Genomic DNA, 19,627 nt, shown 5'->3' on the forward strand with positions numbered 1-19,627 from the left:
CATCTTATTCTTTTTTGGGCGGTCCTTCCCTGCCTTGGCCTTGTAGCCTTGGGGCTTGGTAGCCCCTTGCAGTCAGCTGATGACATCTTCAGGGCAAGGTTCAGCCAGCACCTGTGTTCTCTGTAGCTTCTGCAGGCCTACTTGTGGATCAAAGCTTTTGATCTTACTCAGGAAATACCCCATCAACAAGACGCTTCCTGGTTGTGTGTCCTTTAAGCCGGATGTCAGAAGTGGCTCCGTGCCCCTCGTTGTATGTCACCACGCGTTGAGGCCCTCCTAAACTAGATCCTTCGGGACAGCTACAGTGGCATGGACCTCTCACTTCCTGTTCTCCTTCTGATTCTTCTTCCTCTTCCTCCTCCTACCCCTCTTCTTTAATTCTTCTCCTTCTCCTCCTTCTCCTCTTGCTCCTCCTCCTCCAACTCCTTCTTATCTTCCTACTCCTCCTTTTTCTTTTTCTTCTTTTTCCTCCTTCTACTCCTCCTCCCCCTCCCCCTGCACTTCCTTCTCCTTTGCCTCTTTTTCTTTTTTTGCTTTTGCTTCTGCTTCTGATTCTGCTTCTGTTTTTCCTTTCACTTGCGGATCTGGGTGGGCACGTGTTCTAGCAGACTGCTTCTTCTTTTGCTCCTTGGTGATGTGGGATGTCCCTCTGCAGAATTAGGCCTGGAGAAAGCTTCACATTCGTTCTTTAAGGAGCACAGATGAAGGTCATGAGTTTAGTCCCTCTGGTCCACCAAAAGGCTACCCACGTGTTACTTTTAAGTGAAATGTCATGGTGAACGCACCCTTTACCCAATACCTCATGGCTCATTGTTATTTCCCATTCTCCTTCTGGATGCTGTAAGTGTAATCCTGAGCCAGTAGGAGCCTTGGCAAGTTGTTTCCTAACTCCTTTTTTTCCAGTCAAGCCATGTGAACACATCAATCTGAATTTCAGTGTGTGCAGGCAGGGTGTCTCTGCCACGTGTTCATTTGCTCACATTTCAGTGTGTGCAGGCAGGGTGTCTCTGCCACGTGTTCATTTGCCCACTCTCACTCACACAGGGAGGCACACACAGACACACATGCAGGCACTTACAAGAGACCCCCAGAAGAAGAAATAAAATCACAAACACACACACAGAGATACATGCACACCCAGACAAAAACACGCTTACACATACCCACACAAACACACACATACACACACATAAAGTAAGCTCACAAAATCAAAGGGGTAGGGGCCCAAGCATTATGGGACACAAACACACATCGCCACAGGCATGCGACTGCCCACATTCTCTTCGACAGGGGTTCGAAATATGCAAAGGGGAAAGGGAGACAGAGGAGCATTCCTGCCTCCAGGCCTGAGTCATTATGCCATTTATTGGGCAACTAGGGCCTTCTCCTGAGAATGAATTCGGGAAGTCTGTTATCAGATAGGCTCAAGCAGCAGGCATGAAACTGGAGCATCCTGGGTCAAGCTGCTTAAAAAGGGCCCCCAAGCCTTGTCCCTGTGTGATGCCATGAGAAGCTGTGGTACTTGGTGGCCTTCCCCAGCCTCTCTGAGCCACCCTCCTCCCAACCCTACCTCTGTGAAAGCCGAGACAGCCTGAGCAGAGTCAGTCTTGAGTGAGTTGCTGAATGTCCCCGCTGAGGGAGACTCCTGCCTCAGGCCCTGTGGCTGCCTGTTGAGCTGTCTATCCGTTCTTCGGACCTCCATGTGCCATCCCAAGGTGGTAAACTCTAACTGCAACTCCAGGCTTTGGGAGGACCCCCAATTCTCCAGCAAAACCTTGTGTAAGCCAGCTGGGTGGCCACTGCCTTGTACTTGGGCGGCAGCCCTGTGATCCCAGTCCTTCTGCCGTTTTCCAGTAGCCATGATTATACGTCCTTTCTCTTTTACTTTCTACACCAGCGAAAGCGATGAAACCTGGAGAGGTCCAAAGGAAAGTCAAAGGCTTGCTGCCTCCACAGCGTTCCGACAAGGTCTCCAGCCTACTGATCCTTGATCCTAGGGTCCCCTTAAGAGGTGAAAGTCTGATGGCAGCCCTGGCAGCCCTCGCTCGCTCTCGGCGCCCCCTCGGCATTGGCGTCCACTCTGGCCGCCCTTGAGGAGCCCCTCAGCCCGCCGCTACACTGTGGGAGCCCCTGTCTCCACTGGCCAAGGTCGGAGCCGGCTCCCTCAGCTTGCGGGGAGGTGTGGAGGGAGAGCCGCGGGCGGTAACACGAGCTACTCGCCGCGCTTGCGGGCCACCGGGAGTTGCCGGTCGGCATGAGCTCGGCGGGCCCCGCACTCCGAGCAGCCAGTTGGACCTGCCTGCCCAGGGCAGTGAGGGGCTTAGCAACTGGGCCAGCAGCTACTGTGCTCCACTTCTCGCCTATCTCTTCTCCTTAACTTTCTTTTATAATTATGTTTTCTCCTTCCTCTTTGCTTTTTTCACACGAGAAAGGGCGGAGGCCCTCGGATTGGAGGGGCAGGGTTGTGGTTGTACTTGGCATTTGTGGTGCCATACTGCCATCAAGCGGAAACCGTTTCTGGAAACCGGAGGCTGTAGGGCACAAGTACTGGGGAAAGGCCAGGAGCCCAAAAGGGAGGGTGGTGTGGGACCCCAGACTGAAGCGAGACGAGAGAGGAACTCCTCGCTGGCCCTTGGCCTGGGCTCATTCCCAGGATGGCGCCCTGGCTCCGCAGCTGTATGTAAGAACGGGCAGGCGGGGCGGCCCGCCATGGCTTCCCCTGGCAGTCTCCAGGAACTGCCAGGCATGGGTCGCCCCACACTCAGCACTCCGAAACTTTTTTATTTCCCGGCAAGATAGAGGCTTTCTGGCCCCACTGTGGCCCCAGCCAAGGGCATCGCGGAGCTGCCCACAAAAGCGACCAGAGTAAACGGCCCCGTTCTCTGGCTGTCAGTGGCCAGTGGCTTCCCTTATGCGTATCTCAAAATGGCTGCCGGGGCAGCTGCACCCTGTGGGCTGACTGGTCTTCGGGATGCCTGGCTGATCTGTCTCGGGGCCTCTAGAGTAGCTGCTTCTCCAAGGGGTCCCAATGGCAGGTCCGCTTTGTTCTAGGGCTCTACGCCCGGGTCGGGGAAACCCTGGCTTAGGCAGAGTCCACCCCGCCCCGCCCATCCTCACTCTTCTCGGTGCCTGGCAGAAGGCAAGTGTCCCTGTCCCTGCAGCCTGTTGTCATGTCCAGAATCACCTTCCGCTGGATGGCACTGTGGCTCCGCCAATGGCGGTCACGTCTTTTCCTTCCCCCACCTTGCCTTTATCTTTCTCCATCTGCTGCCGACAGAATAAAACAAACGCCAAAAACAAAAAAAGCCAAGAAACAACGAAAGATACCGGCCAAGGAGCACCCACCTCACCTACAGCAGGGCTCTCCACCTAGGTGGTCACTTTGGGGAAGCCTGCAACGGTAGGAGGGTTCTCTGCCTCCCTCCTTCCCTCTGGATTCTTCTCCGGGCAGGGTTCCCAGTGAACCAGAGAACGTCAAGAAATTCCACCCTTAGGGCTGTGGCTCGGTGGGGGTAGGTCGCACTGGGGGCAGTGTGAGGGGGTACAGGGGGAGGGATATGTGGGTGTGTGGGTCTGCATGCGGGCCGCTGCAGATTCCTCTAGGAATCTGCGCAGGCCGCCTGAGCAAGAGACCAGGCTGCATGCCTGTGCGCACCACACTTGTCCCTAGGTAGCACTCTTCCTCTTGGGGAAGGGATCAAAGTTGGATGGAAAGCAGCCAGGTCCAGCAGGCATCCGCACCTTGTTGAGCCATGGAGCTGCAGGGAGTCGGGCCGGATGTTTCTTGGGATGATGGGACTGGACGGGACGGACTCCTGTCTGAGGCCTTCAGCTCCCTCCCTCTCTGGAGCCCAGGCACTCGTCTGTGCACAGTGGTGGGAGGAGCATGCCGGGTGGGTTTCACAGGTGGCTCTCCTGGAGAGAGAGCCTCTTGGCATGTCTGACGGAGCACGCGTGCTCAGTGGAACGTGGTGGTTCACCACTTAGTTGCCAGGCATCTTGGTCCTTGTACCCAAGTGCATGGGTAGCCAGGGCCCAGCCTGCCCCACTTCGCCTGGACCCCGTCTGATTTCCTGTGCTGCGTGTGGAGGTGGAGGTTGAGCCTTGAGTATTTTGGGGGAGAAGGGGCTCGGGCGGGGGGCTGTGTTTTGGTTTGGTAGAGGGCTCACTGGGCTCTCGAGCTAAACCCTGGTGCTTGCCGGATATTCAGCCCAGAAAATGCATGAGACCGTCAAGGACAAATTATGCCGCCCATAATTAGGGTCTCCAGGCAGACATAAGAAAGCCTGATGCGGGACATCATACAGTGCCCATGTTGGGATGCGAAGCCGCGACCGCCTTGCTCTAAAGGTTGCATAGGCTACTCATGCCGCTGGGTGCCTGGACAGCAGCATGGAACACAACGCTCCCCGAATATTGCAAATGTTTTCTGTCTTGGCTTGTTACAAATCTTCCTGGATGTGTAGGCCACCCTGGGGACGAGCAGCCCTTCTTAGGGCAGAAAATTCACCCCACGGGTGATGATTCCCACGCTGGGGGTGTGTGAACCACTCTCACAAGGAGGAATGTCAATCTCGTGAGCGGGCCTGCACTCTCACGGCATTCCGGGCAGAAGAACCACATGACCATGGAACAGGAGTCACCCCCTTTCTGTCACTTGTCAACAAATGCGGATTTTTTTTTTTTTTTTTTTTTTTTTTTCCTCATATGTAGGTAGCATGCACCAGGGTGCGCCTCTGGCGGTGCCTAGGGAGAACGCGAGAAGAAAAGAATGCAGGAAGATCTGGACTGCGTCTTTAGGGTTGGCACTGGGACTGTGAGTGTCAGAGGTCCTCGGTTTTAACTTTTAACTCCCATCACATCTCAACTGTTTCCTGTCTTCATCTGTGCTTCCACAGGTCCTGAGGCAGGCCCGTACACGTATCCCCACCCATACTCACAAGCGTCTGCCCAGACACCTTCATTCACAGCCGGGGCCGGTCATCTAGGCAACTCTCAGGGGGGCAGGTTTTCAGCTTTCGGGTTCCCTCTTGTTCACTTCACCTTCCTTGTCGCTTTCTGCCTGGCTTCCCAATATGTGCTGACGGAGTGTGCGGGATGGGGTTGAGGTGTGGGCAGCAGGGTGCAGAGCCGCCTACTGGCCCAACAGGCCTCTGGGCGGACGCGGTGCAGACCCGGGCCTAAGGGGCTGATGCTTTCTCCTAGCTGGTGGCTCTTTTTCTGTCAGGCCACTCACAGGGCTGCCAGCTGTCCAGCTGGGGCACTCTGCATTCCACTTCGCTCTCAACCTCATTGCTCACTCTGATTCTTTGTGTACTTTCGGAGTTTTCCTCCCCTCACTTTTTTCTTCTTCACTTTCTTTACTTTTCGTCCACTTCTGTTTGGGGAGGTGAGAAGCAGCCTGGAAGGCAGGGTCGACTGGGCGCGGGGATACCGTTAGGGAAAACAGGCTTACTTTTCCTAAGGAAATTAGGAGGACTCTAGCTGACCCCTGTGAGGAGAAATTGGCATTTCCCTCCCCTTTCTGCCCTGTCTCCATATTGCCGTGGGTGGCCGATTACCTCTTTTCCCTGGTGTCTGATTCCTCCCCGTTTATTACCTTCCTCTTTTTGGGGGGGGGGCTCTTCCCTGCCTTGGCCTTGTAGACTTGGGGTTCGGTGACCCTTGCAGTCGGCTGATGGCATCCTCAGGGCAAGGTTCAGCCTGCACCTGTGTCCTCTGTAGCTTCTGTAGGCCGATTTGTGGATCAAAGTTTCGGTCCCACTCAGGAAAGATCCCATCGACAAGAAGCTTCCTGGTTGTTCGTCCTTTAAGCGGGACGTGACTGGTGGCTCCTTGTCCCTCGTTGTGCATGTCACCATGCATTGAGGTCTTCCTGAACTAGATCCTCCAGGACAGCTACAGTGGCATGGACCTCCCTCTTTCTTGTTCTTCTGATTCTTCTTCCTCTTCCTCCTTCTTCTTCTTCTTCTCTACTTTTATTCTTCCCTTTCTCCTCTATTTTACCTCTTGCTCCTCCTCCTCCAACTTCCTCTCCTCCTCCTCATGCTCCTCCTTTTTGTCCTCCTCCTCCTCCTCCTTCTTCTCGTTCTCGTTCTCCTTTTCCTTCTTCTTTTTCTTCTCATTTTTCTTCTTCTTCTTAATCTTTTTCTGCCTCCTCCTCCTCCTCCTCCTCCTCCTCCTCCTCCGCCTCCTCCTCCTCCTCCTCCTCCTCCTCCTCCTCCTTTTCCTCTTCTTCTTTTTCTGCTTTTGCTTCTGCTTTTTCTTCCCTTTTTCCCTTCACACTCAGATCTGTTCGGGCAAGTGTTCTAGGAGACTGCTGCTGCTTTTGCTTTTTGGTGATTCGACATGTCCCTCTGCAGCACTAGGCCTGGAGGAAGCGTCACTTTTGTTCTCAAAGGAGCACTGATGAAGGTCACCAGTTTATTCCCTCTGGTCCACCAAAAAGCTGCCCACGTGTTACTTTTAAGTGAAATGTCGTGGTGAACCCACCGTTTACCCAGTACCTCATGTCTCACCGTTATTCCCCATTGTCCTTGTGGATGCTCTAAGTGTGCCTTTCTGAGCCATTAGGAGCTTTGGCAAGTTGTCCCCTGTCTCCTTTTTCTCCAGTCAAGCCATGTGAACACATCGATCCAGATGTGTGCAGGCAGGGTGTCTCTGCCACGTGTTCATTTGCCCACTGTCACTCACACAGGCAGGCACCCACAGACCGCAGACTCAGGTACACAGGCACGCAATCATATGGGATCCGGCAACCCAAACTGAAATACACGCGCACACACAGACACATGCACACGCAGACACAAACGCACACGTTAAACACGCCCAAGTAGACACACGCATACATACACAAACACACGCACGTGCGCACACACGTCAGCTCACACTAGCAAAGGGGTGTGAGCTCAAGCATTATCGGACACAGACTCCTACACACCGCCACTGGCTCGAAAGCGCCCACAACCTCTTCCACGCTGGCTCTAAATGTGCAAAGCAGAACGGGAGACAGGCGAGCATTCCTGGCTCCAGTCCTGGGTCATCATGCCATTTATTGGGCAACTAGGGTCTTCTCCTGAGAATGAATGCGGGATGTGTGTCATCAGATAGGCCCAAGCAGCAGGTATGAAACTGGATCATCCTGGGTTATGCTGCTTAAAAAGGGACCCCACTTTGGAGGAGGGGCAGAGACAGTCCCCCTGGAGTCTTGGCTCTGTGTGATGCTATGAGTATCTGTGGCGCGGGGTGGCCTTCCCAGGCCTCCCTGAGCCGCCCCCCTCCCACCCTCTCCTGTGTGAAAGCCGAGACAGCCTGAGCAGAGTCAGACTTGAGTGTGTTGCTGAGTGTCTCCTGTGAGGGAGACTCCTGCCTCAGCCCTGTGGCTGCCTGTTGAGCCTTCGGCCCCGTTCTGGTGACCTCCGTGTGCCATGCCAAGGTGGTAAACACTACCTGCAGCTCCAGGCCTTGGGAGGACCCCCGGTCCTGGGGCAAATCCTTGTGTAAGCCAGCTGGGTGGCCAGCGCCTTGTCCTGGGGCGGCAGCCCTATGATCCCAGTCCTCCTGTGGTTTCCCAGAGGCGGTGATTATGTGTCCTTTGTCTTTTACTTCCTGCACCAGCGGGAGCCAAAATCCCTGAAGAGGGCCAAAGGAAAGGCAGAGGTTGGCTGCCTCCACCGCATTCCCGCAGGTTCTCCAGCCGGCTGGTCGTTGGTCCTAGGGTCCCCTGAGTTTGGCGGTCAACCTGGGACCAGGTGGCTGGTTCCTTTCCCTTCTCCGTGTCTTTCTTTTATTATTATGTTTTCTCCTTCCTCTTTGCTTTTTTCACACGAGAAAGGGCGGAGGCCCTCGGATTGGAGGGGCAGGGTTGTGGTTGTACTTGGCATTTGTGGTGCCATACTGCCATCAAGCGGAAACCGTTTCTGGAAACCGGAGGCTGTAGGGCACAAGTACTGGGGAAAGGCCAGGAGCCCAAAAGGGAGGGTGGTGTGGGACCCCAGACTGAAGCGAGACGAGAGAGGAACTCCTCGCTGGCCCTTGGCCTGGGCTCATTCCCAGGATGGCGCCCTGGCTCCGCAGCTGTATGTAAGAACGGGCAGGCGGGGCGGCCCGCCATGGCTTCCCCTGGCAGTCTCCAGGAACTGCCAGGCATGGGTCGCCCCACACTCAGCACTCCGAAACTTTTTTATTTCCCGGCAAGATAGAGGCTTTCTGGCCCCACTGTGGCCCCAGCCAAGGGCATCGCGGAGCTGCCCACAAAAGCGACCAGAGTAAACGGCCCCGTTCTCTGGCTGTCAGTGGCCAGTGGCTTCCCTTATGCGTATCTCAAAATGGCTGCCGGGGCAGCTGCACCCTGTGGGCTGACTGGTCTTCGGGATGCCTGGCTGATCTGTCTCGGGGCCTCTAGAGTAGCTGCTTCTCCAAGGGGTCCCAATGGCAGGTCCGCTTTGTTCTAGGGCTCTACGCCCGGGTCGGGGAAACCCTGGCTTAGGCAGAGTCCACCCCGCCCCGCCCATCCTCACTCTTCTCGGTGCCTGGCAGAAGGCAAGTGTCCCTGTCCCTGCAGCCTGTTGTCATGTCCAGAATCACCTTCCGCTGGATGGCACTGTGGCTCCGCCAATGGCGGTCACGTCTTTTCCTTCCCCCACCTTGCCTTTATCTTTCTCCATCTGCTGCCGACAGAATAAAACAAACGCCAAAAACAAAAAAAGCCAAGAAACAACGAAAGATACCGGCCAAGGAGCACCCACCTCACCTACAGCAGGGCTCTCCACCTAGGTGGTCACTTTGGGGAAGCCTGCAACGGTAGGAGGGTTCTCTGCCTCCCTCCTTCCCTCTGGATTCTTCTCCGGGCAGGGTTCCCAGTGAACCAGAGAACGTCAAGAAATTCCACCCTTAGGGCTGTGGCTCGGTGGGGGTAGGTCGCACTGGGGGCAGTGTGAGGGGGTACAGGGGGAGGGATATGTGGGTGTGTGGGTCTGCATGCGGGCCGCTGCAGATTCCTCTAGGAATCTGCGCAGGCCGCCTGAGCAAGAGACCAGGCTGCATGCCTGTGCGCACCACACTTGTCCCTAGGTAGCACTCTTCCTCTTGGGGAAGGGATCAAAGTTGGATGGAAAGCAGCCAGGTCCAGCAGGCATCCGCACCTTGTTGAGCCATGGAGCTGCAGGGAGTCGGGCCGGATGTTTCTTGGGATGATGGGACTGGACGGGACGGACTCCTGTCTGAGGCCTTCAGCTCCCTCCCTCTCTGGAGCCCAGGCACTCGTCTGTGCACAGTGGTGGGAGGAGCATGCCGGGTGGGTTTCACAGGTGGCTCTCCTGGAGAGAGAGCCTCTTGGCATGTCTGACGGAGCACGCGTGCTCAGTGGAACGTGGTGGTTCACCACTTAGTTGCCAGGCATCTTGGTCCTTGTACCCAAGTGCATGGGTAGCCAGGGCCCAGCCTGCCCCACTTCGCCTGGACCCCGTCTGATTTCCTGTGCTGCGTGTGGAGGTGGAGGTTGAGCCTTGAGTATTTTGGGGGAGAAGGGGCTCGGGCGGGGGGCTGTGTTTTGGTTTGGTAGAGGGCTCACTGGGCTCTCGAGCTAAACCCTGGTGCTTGCCGGATATTCAGCCCAGAAAATGCATGAGACCGTCAAGGACAAATTATGCCGCCCATAATTAGGGTCTCCAGGCAGACATAAGAAAGCCTGATGCGGGACATCATACAGTGCCCATGTTGGGATGCGAAGCCGCGACCGCCTTGCTCTAAAGGTTGCATAGGCTACTCATGCCGCTGGGTGCCTGGACAGCAGCATGGAACACAACGCTCCCCGAATATTGCAAATGTTTTCTGTCTTGGCTTGTTACAAATCTTCCTGGATGTGTAGGCCACCCTGGGGACGAGCAGCCCTTCTTAGGGCAGAAAATTCACCCCACGGGTGATGATTCCCACGCTGGGGGTGTGTGAACCACTCTCACAAGGAGGAATGTCAATCTCGTGAGCGGGCCTGCACTCTCACGGCATTCCGGGCAGAAGAACCACATGACCATGGAACAGGAGTCACCCCCTTTCTGTCACTTGTCAACAAATGCGGATTTTTTTTTTTTTTTTTTTTTTTTTTTCCTCATATGTAGGTAGCATGCACCAGGGTGCGCCTCTGGCGGTGCCTAGGGAGAACGCGAGAAGAAAAGAATGCAGGAAGATCTGGACTGCGTCTTTAGGGTTGGCACTGGGACTGTGAGTGTCAGAGGTCCTCGGTTTTAACTTTTAACTCCCATCACATCTCAACTGTTTCCTGTCTTCATCTGTGCTTCCACAGGTCCTGAGGCAGGCCCGTACACGTATCCCCACCCATACTCACAAGCGTCTGCCCAGACACCTTCATTCACAGCCGGGGCCGGTCATCTAGGCAACTCTCAGGGGGGCAGGTTTTCAGCTTTCGGGTTCCCTCTTGTTCACTTCACCTTCCTTGTCGCTTTCTGCCTGGCTTCCCAATATGTGCTGACGGAGTGTGCGGGATGGGGTTGAGGTGTGGGCAGCAGGGTGCAGAGCCGCCTACTGGCCCAACAGGCCTCTGGGCGGACGCGGTGCAGACCCGGGCCTAAGGGGCTGATGCTTTCTCCTAGCTGGTGGCTCTTTTTCTGTCAGGCCACTCACAGGGCTGCCAGCTGTCCAGCTGGGGCACTCTGCATTCCACTTCGCTCTCAACCTCATTGCTCACTCTGATTCTTTGTGTACTTTCGGAGTTTTCCTCCCCTCACTTTTTTCTTCTTCACTTTCTTTACTTTTCGTCCACTTCTGTTTGGGGAGGTGAGAAGCAGCCTGGAAGGCAGGGTCGACTGGGCGCGGGGATACCGTTAGGGAAAACAGGCTTACTTTTCCTAAGGAAATTAGGAGGACTCTAGCTGACCCCTGTGAGGAGAAATTGGCATTTCCCTCCCCTTTCTGCCCTGTCTCCATATTGCCGTGGGTGGCCGATTACCTCTTTTCCCTGGTGTCTGATTCCTCCCCGTTTATTACCTTCCTCTTTTTGGGGGGGGGGCTCTTCCCTGCCTTGGCCTTGTAGACTTGGGGTTCGGTGACCCTTGCAGTCGGCTGATGGCATCCTCAGGGCAAGGTTCAGCCTGCACCTGTGTCCTCTGTAGCTTCTGTAGGCCGATTTGTGGATCAAAGTTTCGGTCCCACTCAGGAAAGATCCCATCGACAAGAAGCTTCCTGGTTGTTCGTCCTTTAAGCGGGACGTGACTGGTGGCTCCTTGTCCCTCGTTGTGCATGTCACCATGCATTGAGGTCTTCCTGAACTAGATCCTCCAGGACAGCTACAGTGGCATGGACCTCCCTCTTTCTTGTTCTTCTGATTCTTCTTCCTCTTCCTCCTTCTTCTTCTTCTTCTCTACTTTTATTCTTCCCTTTCTCCTCTATTTTACCTCTTGCTCCTCCTCCTCCAACTTCCTCTCCTCCTCCTCATGCTCCTCCTTTTTGTCCTCCTCCTCCTCCTCCTTCTTCTCGTTCTCGTTCTCCTTTTCCTTCTTCTTTTTCTTCTCATTTTTCTTCTTCTTCTTAATCTTTTTCTGCCTCCTCCTCCTCCTCCTCCTCCTCCTCCTCCTCCGCCTCCTCCTCCTCCTCCTCCTCCTCCTCCTCCTCCTTTTCCTCTTCTTCTTTTTCTGCTTTTGCTTCTGCTTTTTCTTCCCTTTTTCCCTTCACACTCAGATCTGTTCGGGCAAGTGTTCTAGGAGACTGCTGCTGCTTTTGCTTTTTGGTGATTCGACATGTCCCTCTGCAGCACTAGGCCTGGAGGAAGCGTCACTTTTGTTCTCAAAGGAGCACTGATGAAGGTCACCAGTTTATTCCCTCTGGTCCACCAAAAAGCTGCCCACGTGTTACTTTTAAGTGAAATGTCGTGGTGAACCCACCGTTTACCCAGTACCTCATGTCTCACCGTTATTCCCCATTGTCCTTGTGGATGCTCTAAGTGTGCCTTTCTGAGCCATTAGGAGCTTTGGCAAGTTGTCCCCTGTCTCCTTTTTCTCCAGTCAAGCCATGTGAACACATCGATCCAGATGTGTGCAGGCAGGGTGTCTCTGCCACGTGTTCATTTGCCCACTGTCACTCACACAGGCAGGCACCCACAGACCGCAGACTCAGGTACACAGGCACGCAATCATATGGGATCCGGCAACCCAAACTGAAATACACGCGCACACACAGACACATGCACACGCAGACACAAACGCACACGTTAAACACGCCCAAGTAGACACACGCATACATACACAAACACACGCACGTGCGCACACACGTCAGCTCACACTAGCAAAGGGGTGTGAGCTCAAGCATTATCGGACACAGACTCCTACACACCGCCACTGGCTCGAAAGCGCCCACAACCTCTTCCACGCTGGCTCTAAATGTGCAAAGCAGAACGGGAGACAGGCGAGCATTCCTGGCTCCAGTCCTGGGTCATCATGCCATTTATTGGGCAACTAGGGTCTTCTCCTGAGAATGAATGCGGGATGTGTGTCATCAGATAGGCCCAAGCAGCAGGTATGAAACTGGATCATCCTGGGTTATGCTGCTTAAAAAGGGACCCCACTTTGGAGGAGGGGCAGAGACAGTCCCCCTGGAGTCTTGGCTCTGTGTGATGCTATGAGTATCTGTGGCGCGGGGTGGCCTTCCCAGGCCTCCCTGAGCCGCCCCCCTCCCACCCTCTCCTGTGTGAAAGCCGAGACAGCCTGAGCAGAGTCAGACTTGAGTGTGTTGCTGAGTGTCTCCTGTGAGGGAGACTCCTGCCTCAGCCCTGTGGCTGCCTGTTGAGCCTTCGGCCCCGTTCTGGTGACCTCCGTGTGCCATGCCAAGGTGGTAAACACTACCTGCAGCTCCAGGCCTTGGGAGGACCCCCGGTCCTGGGGCAAATCCTTGTGTAAGCCAGCTGGGTGGCCAGCGCCTTGTCCTGGGGCGGCAGCCCTATGATCCCAGTCCTCCTGTGGTTTCCCAGAGGCGGTGATTATGTGTCCTTTGTCTTTTACTTCCTGCACCAGCGGGAGCCAAAATCCCTGAAGAGGGCCAAAGGAAAGGCAGAGGTTGGCTGCCTCCACCGCATTCCCGCAGGTTCTCCAGCCGGCTGGTCGTTGGTCCTAGGGTCCCCTGAGTTTGGCGGTCAACCTGGGACCAGGTGGCTGGTTCCTTTCCCTTCTCCGTGTCTTTCTTTTATTATTATGTTTTCTCCTTCCTCTTTGCTTTTTTCACACGAGAAAGGGCGGAGGCCCTCGGATTGGAGGGGCAGGGTTGTGGTTGTACTTGGCATTTGTGGTGCCATACTGCCATCAAGCGGAAACCGTTTCTGGAAACCGGAGGCTGTAGGGCACAAGTACTGGGGAAAGGCCAGGAGCCCAAAAGGGAGGGTGGTGTGGGACCCCAGACTGAAGCGAGACGAGAGAGGAACTCCTCGCTGGCCCTTGGCCTGGGCTCATTCCCAGGATGGCGCCCTGGCTCCGCAGCTGTATGTAAGAACGGGCAGGCGGGGCGGCCCGCCATGGCTTCCCCTGGCAGTCTCCAGGAACTGCCAGGCATGGGTCGCCCCACACTCAGCACTCCGAAACTTTTTTATTTCCCGGCAAGATAGAGGCTTTCTGGCCCCACTGTGGCCCCAGCCAAGGGCATCGCGGAGCTGCCCACAAAAGCGACCAGAGTAAACGGCCCCGTTCTCTGGCTGTCAGTGGCCAGTGGCTTCCCTTATGCGTATCTCAAAATGGCTGCCGGGGCAGCTGCACCCTGTGGGCTGACTGGTCTTCGGGATGCCTGGCTGATCTGTCTCGGGGCCTCTAGAGTAGCTGCTTCTCCAAGGGGTCCCAATGGCAGGTCCGCTTTGTTCTAGGGCTCTACGCCCGGGTCGGGGAAACCCTGGCTTAGGCAGAGTCCACCCCGCCCCGCCCATCCTCACTCTTCTCGGTGCCTGGCAGAAGGCAAGTGTCCCTGTCCCTGCAGCCTGTTGTCATGTCCAGAATCACCTTCCGCTGGATGGCACTGTGGCTCCGCCAATGGCGGTCACGTCTTTTCCTTCCCCCACCTTGCCTTTATCTTTCTCCATCTGCTGCCGACAGAATAAAACAAACGCCAAAAACAAAAAAAGCCAAGAAACAACGAAAGATACCGGCCAAGGAGCACCCACCTCACCTACAGCAGGGCTCTCCACCTAGGTGGTCACTTTGGGGAAGCCTGCAACGGTAGGAGGGTTCTCTGCCTCCCTCCTTCCCTCTGGATTCTTCTCCGGGCAGGGTTCCCAGTGAACCAGAGAACGTCAAGAAATTCCACCCTTAGGGCTGTGGCTCGGTGGGGGTAGGTCGCACTGGGGGCAGTGTGAGGGGGTACAGGGGGAGGGATATGTGGGTGTGTGGGTCTGCATGCGGGCCGCTGCAGATTCCTCTAGGAATCTGCGCAGGCCGCCTGAGCAAGAGACCAGGCTGCATGCCTGTGCGCACCACACTTGTCCCTAGGTAGCACTCTTCCTCTTGGGGAAGGGATCAAAGTTGGATGGAAAGCAGCCAGGTCCAGCAGGCATCCGCACCTTGTTGAGCCATGGAGCTGCAGGGAGTCGGGCCGGATGTTTCTTGGGATGATGGGACTGGACGGGACGGACTCCTGTCTGAGGCCTTCAGCTCCCTCCCTCTCTGGAGCCCAGGCACTCGTCTGTGCACAGTGGTGGGAGGAGCATGCCGGGTGGGTTTCACAGGTGGCTCTCCTGGAGAGAGAGCCTCTTGGCATGTCTGACGGAGCACGCGTGCTCAGTGGAACGTGGTGGTTCACCACTTAGTTGCCAGGCATCTTGGTCCTTGTACCCAAGTGCATGGGTAGCCAGGGCCCAGCCTGCCCCACTTCGCCTGGACCCCGTCTGATTTCCTGTGCTGCGTGTGGAGGTGGAGGTTGAGCCTTGAGTATTTTGGGGGAGAAGGGGCTCGGGCGGGGGGCTGTGTTTTGGTTTGGTAGAGGGCTCACTGGGCTCTCGAGCTAAACCCTGGTGCTTGCCGGATATTCAGCCCAGAAAATGCATGAGACCGTCAAGGACAAATTATGCCGCCCATAATTAGGGTCTCCAGGCAGACATAAGAAAGCCTGATGCGGGACATCATACAGTGCCCATGTTGGGATGCGAAGCCGCGACCGCCTTGCTCTAAAGGTTGCATAGGCTACTCATGCCGCTGGGTGCCTGGACAGCAGCATGGAACACAACGCTCCCCGAATATTGCAAATGTTTTCTGTCTTGGCTTGTTACAAATCTTCCTGGATGTGTAGGCCACCCTGGGGACGAGCAGCCCTTCTTAGGGCAGAAAATTCACCCCACGGGTGATGATTCCCACGCTGGGGGTGTGTGAACCACTCTCACAAGGAGGAATGTCAATCTCGTGAGCGGGCCTGCACTCTCACGGCATTCCGGGCAGAAGAACCACATGACCATGGAACAGGAGTCACCCCCTTTCTGTCACTTGTCAACAAATGCGGATTTTTTTTTTTTTTTTTTTTTTTTTTCCTCATATGTAGGTAGCATGCACCAGGGTGCGCCTCTGGCGGTGCCTAGGGAGAACGCGAGAAGAAAAGAATGCAGGAAGATCTGGACTGCGTCTTTAGGGTTGGCACTGGGACTGTGAGTGTCAGAGGTCCTCGGTTTTAACTTTTAACTCCCATCACATCTCAACTGTTTCCTTGTCAACAAATGTGTGTCCTTTTCTCATAAGTGTATACCATCCACCTCGGGGCCCCTCCTTTTGTGCCTTGGGACATCGGGTGAAGTAAGGAACGCAGGAACTTTGGTGTTGTTAGTTTTAGTGTCAGAGGTTCTTGTTTTTACCTTTGAACATCAATCACGTCTGAACTATATCCTGTCTTCATCTGTGGTTGCATAGGTCCTCAGGCACATACAAGTATCTTCTCCAGTAATGACAAGCTTCTGCCTAGACACCTTCATTCACAACTGTTTCCCGTCATCTAAGCAACCCTCAGGAGGTAGTTGTTAAGCTTTCACGTTCCCTCCTGTTCATTTTTCTTATTGCTTTCTCTCTGCCTTCCCAATATTTGCTGATGGAGTGTGCGGGATGGGGTTGAGGTGTGGGCAGCAGGGAACAGGGCAGTCTCCTGGCCCAACAGATCTTTGTGCAGACGCGGTACAGACCCGGGATTTAGGGGCTTATGCTTTCTTCTGGCTGGCGCCTTATCCTGTGTGAGGACACAGGAGGCTACTCACAGGGCTGTCAGCTTTCCATATGATGAACTCTGCTTTCCAGTTTACTCTGTAACTCATTGCTCACTCTGATTCTTTGTGTACTTTTGGAGTTTTCCTCCCTTCACTTTTTTCTTCTTCACTGTCTTTACTTTTCGTCCGCTTCTGTTTATGGAGGTCACAATCAGCCAAGAAGGCAGGGTCAGTTATGCACGGGGACATGGTTAAGGAAAACAGGCTTACTGTTTCTAAGGAAATTAGAAGGACTCCAGCTGAACCCTGCGAGGAGAAGTTGGCATTTCCTTATTCTTTCTGCCGTGTCTCCATATTGCCATGGGTGGCTGATTACCTCTTTTCCCTGGTGTCCGATTCCTCCCCGTTTTTCATCTTTTTCTTTTGGGTGGTTCTTCACTGCCTTGGTTTTGTAGACTTTGGGCTTGGTGGCCCCTTGCAGTCAGCTGATGACATCCTCAGGGTAAGGTTCAGCCTACACTTGTGTACTCTGTAGTTCTGCAGGCCAATTTGTGGATCAAAGTTTTGATCCCACTCAGGAAAGATCCCATCGACAAGAAGCTTCTCGTTTGTATGTCCTTTAAACGGGAGGTGACCTGGGGCTCCTTGTCACTCATTGTGTATGTCACCACACACTGAGGTCTTCCTTAACTAGATCCTTCAGGACAGCTACAGTGGCATGGACCTCCCACTTTCTGTTCTTGTTCTCTTTCTGGTTATTCTTCCTCTTCCTCCTCCTACTCTTTTAATTCCTCTTCTCTTTTTTGTTTTCTTACTCTTCCTCCTCCATCTTCTCCTCCTCCTCCTCCTTCTTCTTTCCTTCTCCTCTTCTTTTGCCTCTTCTTCTTTTTTGTCTTTTGCTTTTGCCTCTGCTTCTCTTTTTCCCTTCACTTTCAGATCAGGACAGACAAGTGTTCTAGGAGACTGCTTCTTCTTTTGCTCCTTGGTGATTCAGCATGTCTCTCTGCAGTACTAGGCCTAGAGAAAGCTTCACTTTTGTTCTTAATTTAGCACTGATGAAGGTCACCAGTTTAGTCTCTCTGGTATACCAAAAACCTTCCCACATGTTGCTTTTAAGTGAAATGTCATGGTGAACAGATCCTTTACCCAGTTCCTCATGGCTTGCTGTTATTTCCTGTTCTGTTCGTGGATGCACTAGGTGTGTAATCCTGAGCCATTAGGAAGTTTGGCAAGTTGTCCCGTGTCTCCTTTTTTTTCAGTCCAGCCATGTGAACACATTGATCCGGATTTCAGTTTTTGCAGGGTGTCTCCGCCACATGCCCATTTGCCCACTCTCACTCACAGAGGCAGGCACCCACAGACCACAGACACAGACACAATACATACACTCACAAGGGACCCCCCAATCAGAAATTAAATCACAAACACACACGCACATGGAGACTCATGCACACACAGACACAAACACACACATTAAACACGCCTAAGCGGACACACACACAGATACACACAGACACACACACACACACAGAAGTAAGCTCACACTAGTACAAATGTGCGGGTTTAAGCATTATCGTACACAGACACACACAACACCTCAGGCACGAAACTGCCCACAATGTCTTCCACTCGGGCTGTAAATGGGGCTGTAAATGGTGGCGTGTGGCCCTCAAACTGAGGCGGGACAAGAGAGGAACTCCTTGCTGGCTCTTGGCCTGCCCTCATTCCTAGGATGGCGGCCTGTCTCCACAGCTGTATGTAAGAAAGGGCAGTCGGGGCGGCCAGCCATGGCTTCCCCTGGCAGTCTCCAGAAACTGCCGGGCATGAGTCGCCCAACACTCAACACGCCGAAGCTCCTTTGTTTCCTGGGTGGATAGGGGCTTTCTTGCCCCACTGTGGCCCCAGCCAAGGGCATCCCAGAACTGCCCACAAAAGAGACCAGATTAAACGGCCCCATTTTCTGGCTGTCAGTGGCCAGTGGCTTCCCTTATGCGTATCTCAAAATGGCTGCTGGTGCAGCTCCACTCTGTGGGCTGACGGGTCTTCAGGCTGCCTGGCTGATCTGTCTCGGGGCCTCTAGAGTAGCTGCTTCTCCAAGCGGTTCCAATGGCAGGTACGATTTGTTCTAGGGCTCTAAACCCCAGTCGGGGAAACCCTGGCTTAGGCAGAGTCCACCCAGTCCCGCACATTTTCGCGGATCTCTGTGCCTGGCAGAAGGCAAGTGTCCCTGCAGCCTGTTGTCATGTTCAGAAACACCTTCCGCTGGATGGCACTGTGGCTCCACAGATGACAGTCACGTCTTTTCCTTCCCTTCCCTTGCCTTTGTCTTTCTCCATTTGTTGCGAACAGAATAAAACAAAAACACACACACAAAGCGAAGAAACAAAGAAAGAAACGGGCCAAAGAGCACCCACCTCATCTACAGCAGGGCTCCCCACCTACGTGGTCACTTTGGGGGAAGGTGCAACAGTAGGAGCGTTCTCTGCCTCCCTCCTTCTTCTGGATTCTTCTCTGGGCAGGGGTCCCAGTGAACCAGAGGAGCCTATCCTCAATACATCCCACCCTTATGGCTGTGGCATGGTGGGGGTAGGTCGCACTGGGGGCAGTGTGAGTGGGTACAGGGGGAGAGGTGTGTGGATGTGTGGCCCTGCATGCAGGCTGCTGCAGATTTCTCTAGGAATGTGCTCAGCTCCCCCTAGGCAAGAGACCAGGCCGTATGCTGAGGTGCACGACACTTGTCCCTAGGTAGCACTCTTCCTCTTGGGGAAGGGACCAAATCTTGTATGGAATGCAGTCCGGTCCAACAGGCTTCCGCACATTGTTGACCCATGGAGCAGCAAGGAGTTTGGCTGGATGTTTGTTGGGATGGGACTGGACTGGAAGGACTCCTGTTGGAGGCCTTCAGCTCCCTCTCTCTCTCTGGAGCCCAGGCACTCATCTGTGCCCAGGGGTGGGAGGGGTATTCCAGGTTGTTTTACAGGTGGCTGTCCTGGAGAGAAAGCCACTTGTTATGTCTGACTGAGCATGCGTGCTCACTGGAACGTGGTGGTTCACCAGTTATTTGCCCCGGCATCTTGGTCATTCTGCATAAGTGCATGGGTAGCCAGGTTCCAGACAGTGCTCGCCTTCTCCTGGGCCTGTCTTTGTTCCTGTTCTGCGTGTGGAAGTAGAGGTGGATCCTGGAATGTGTTGGGTGGGATGGTGGTAGGGCAACTGTGCCTTGGTTTGATACAGAGCTCTCTGGGGTCCTCAAGCTGAACTCTGGTGCTTGCGGGATATTCAGCCCTAAAAATGAATGAGTCGGTCGAGGACAAATTTTGCCGGCTCTTTAGGGTTTCCAGGCAGACGTAAGAAATCCTGACGCGGGCCATCATACAGCCCGCTTCTTGGGATGCGAAGCCATGACCGCGTTGCTCTAAAGGTTACATATGCTACCCATGCCGCTCAGTGCCTGGGCAGCAG

At 54.5% G+C, this 19,627-nt stretch overlaps 1 protein-coding gene across 1 annotated transcript in view, besides 11 other annotated features; it reads left to right on the plus strand.

The window, feature by feature from the left end:
* Nucleotides 1-19,627, plus strand: part of NBDY (negative regulator of P-body association) — an 89,937-nt gene that overhangs the window by 36,062 nt on the left and 34,248 nt on the right. The window lies entirely within an intron of this gene.
* Nucleotides 1,796-2,025: an enhancer, noted in NCBI's record as "active region_29694". NCBI's record gives its function as "activates an Ori minimal core promoter by ATAC-STARR-seq in GM12878 lymphoblastoid cells {active_cell/tissue: GM12878}" and the evidence as "EXISTENCE:reporter gene assay evidence [ECO:0000049][PMID:35858748]".
* Nucleotides 2,286-2,585: an enhancer, noted in NCBI's record as "active region_29695". NCBI's record gives its function as "activates an Ori minimal core promoter by ATAC-STARR-seq in GM12878 lymphoblastoid cells {active_cell/tissue: GM12878}" and the evidence as "EXISTENCE:reporter gene assay evidence [ECO:0000049][PMID:35858748]".
* Nucleotides 4,621-5,137: an enhancer, noted in NCBI's record as "H3K27ac-H3K4me1 hESC enhancer chrX:56796358-56796874 (GRCh37/hg19 assembly coordinates)". NCBI's record gives its function as "activates a minimal SCP1, AML or CMV promoter by ChIP-STARR-seq in primed H9 embryonic stem cells {active_cell/tissue: H9 hESC(primed)}" and the evidence as "EXISTENCE:reporter gene assay evidence [ECO:0000049][PMID:30033119]".
* Nucleotides 5,138-5,654: an enhancer, noted in NCBI's record as "H3K27ac-H3K4me1 hESC enhancer chrX:56796875-56797391 (GRCh37/hg19 assembly coordinates)". NCBI's record gives its function as "activates a minimal SCP1, AML or CMV promoter by ChIP-STARR-seq in naive H9 embryonic stem cells {active_cell/tissue: H9 hESC(naive)}" and the evidence as "EXISTENCE:reporter gene assay evidence [ECO:0000049][PMID:30033119]".
* Nucleotides 6,341-6,932: an enhancer, noted in NCBI's record as "H3K27ac-H3K4me1 hESC enhancer chrX:56798078-56798669 (GRCh37/hg19 assembly coordinates)". NCBI's record gives its function as "activates a minimal SCP1, AML or CMV promoter by ChIP-STARR-seq in naive H9 embryonic stem cells {active_cell/tissue: H9 hESC(naive)}" and the evidence as "EXISTENCE:reporter gene assay evidence [ECO:0000049][PMID:30033119]".
* Nucleotides 6,933-7,523: an enhancer, noted in NCBI's record as "OCT4-NANOG-H3K27ac-H3K4me1 hESC enhancer chrX:56798670-56799260 (GRCh37/hg19 assembly coordinates)". NCBI's record gives its function as "activates a minimal SCP1, AML or CMV promoter by ChIP-STARR-seq in naive and primed H9 embryonic stem cells {active_cell/tissue: H9 hESC(naive and primed)}" and the evidence as "EXISTENCE:reporter gene assay evidence [ECO:0000049][PMID:30033119]".
* Nucleotides 7,524-8,115: an enhancer, noted in NCBI's record as "OCT4-NANOG-H3K27ac-H3K4me1 hESC enhancer chrX:56799261-56799852 (GRCh37/hg19 assembly coordinates)". NCBI's record gives its function as "activates a minimal SCP1, AML or CMV promoter by ChIP-STARR-seq in naive and primed H9 embryonic stem cells {active_cell/tissue: H9 hESC(naive and primed)}" and the evidence as "EXISTENCE:reporter gene assay evidence [ECO:0000049][PMID:30033119]".
* Nucleotides 12,659-13,556: an enhancer, noted in NCBI's record as "OCT4-NANOG-H3K27ac-H3K4me1 hESC enhancer chrX:56804396-56805293 (GRCh37/hg19 assembly coordinates)". NCBI's record gives its function as "activates a minimal SCP1, AML or CMV promoter by ChIP-STARR-seq in naive and primed H9 embryonic stem cells {active_cell/tissue: H9 hESC(naive and primed)}" and the evidence as "EXISTENCE:reporter gene assay evidence [ECO:0000049][PMID:30033119]".
* Nucleotides 13,557-14,455: an enhancer, noted in NCBI's record as "H3K27ac-H3K4me1 hESC enhancer chrX:56805294-56806192 (GRCh37/hg19 assembly coordinates)". NCBI's record gives its function as "activates a minimal SCP1, AML or CMV promoter by ChIP-STARR-seq in primed H9 embryonic stem cells {active_cell/tissue: H9 hESC(primed)}" and the evidence as "EXISTENCE:reporter gene assay evidence [ECO:0000049][PMID:30033119]".
* Nucleotides 17,266-17,405: an enhancer, noted in NCBI's record as "active region_29696". NCBI's record gives its function as "activates an Ori minimal core promoter by ATAC-STARR-seq in GM12878 lymphoblastoid cells {active_cell/tissue: GM12878}" and the evidence as "EXISTENCE:reporter gene assay evidence [ECO:0000049][PMID:35858748]".
* Nucleotides 18,065-18,144: an enhancer, noted in NCBI's record as "active region_29697". NCBI's record gives its function as "activates an Ori minimal core promoter by ATAC-STARR-seq in GM12878 lymphoblastoid cells {active_cell/tissue: GM12878}" and the evidence as "EXISTENCE:reporter gene assay evidence [ECO:0000049][PMID:35858748]".

This window comes from Homo sapiens, chromosome X (assembly GCF_000001405.40).
Source record: "Homo sapiens chromosome X, GRCh38.p14 Primary Assembly".
NCBI lineage: Eukaryota > Metazoa > Chordata > Mammalia > Primates > Hominidae > Homo > Homo sapiens.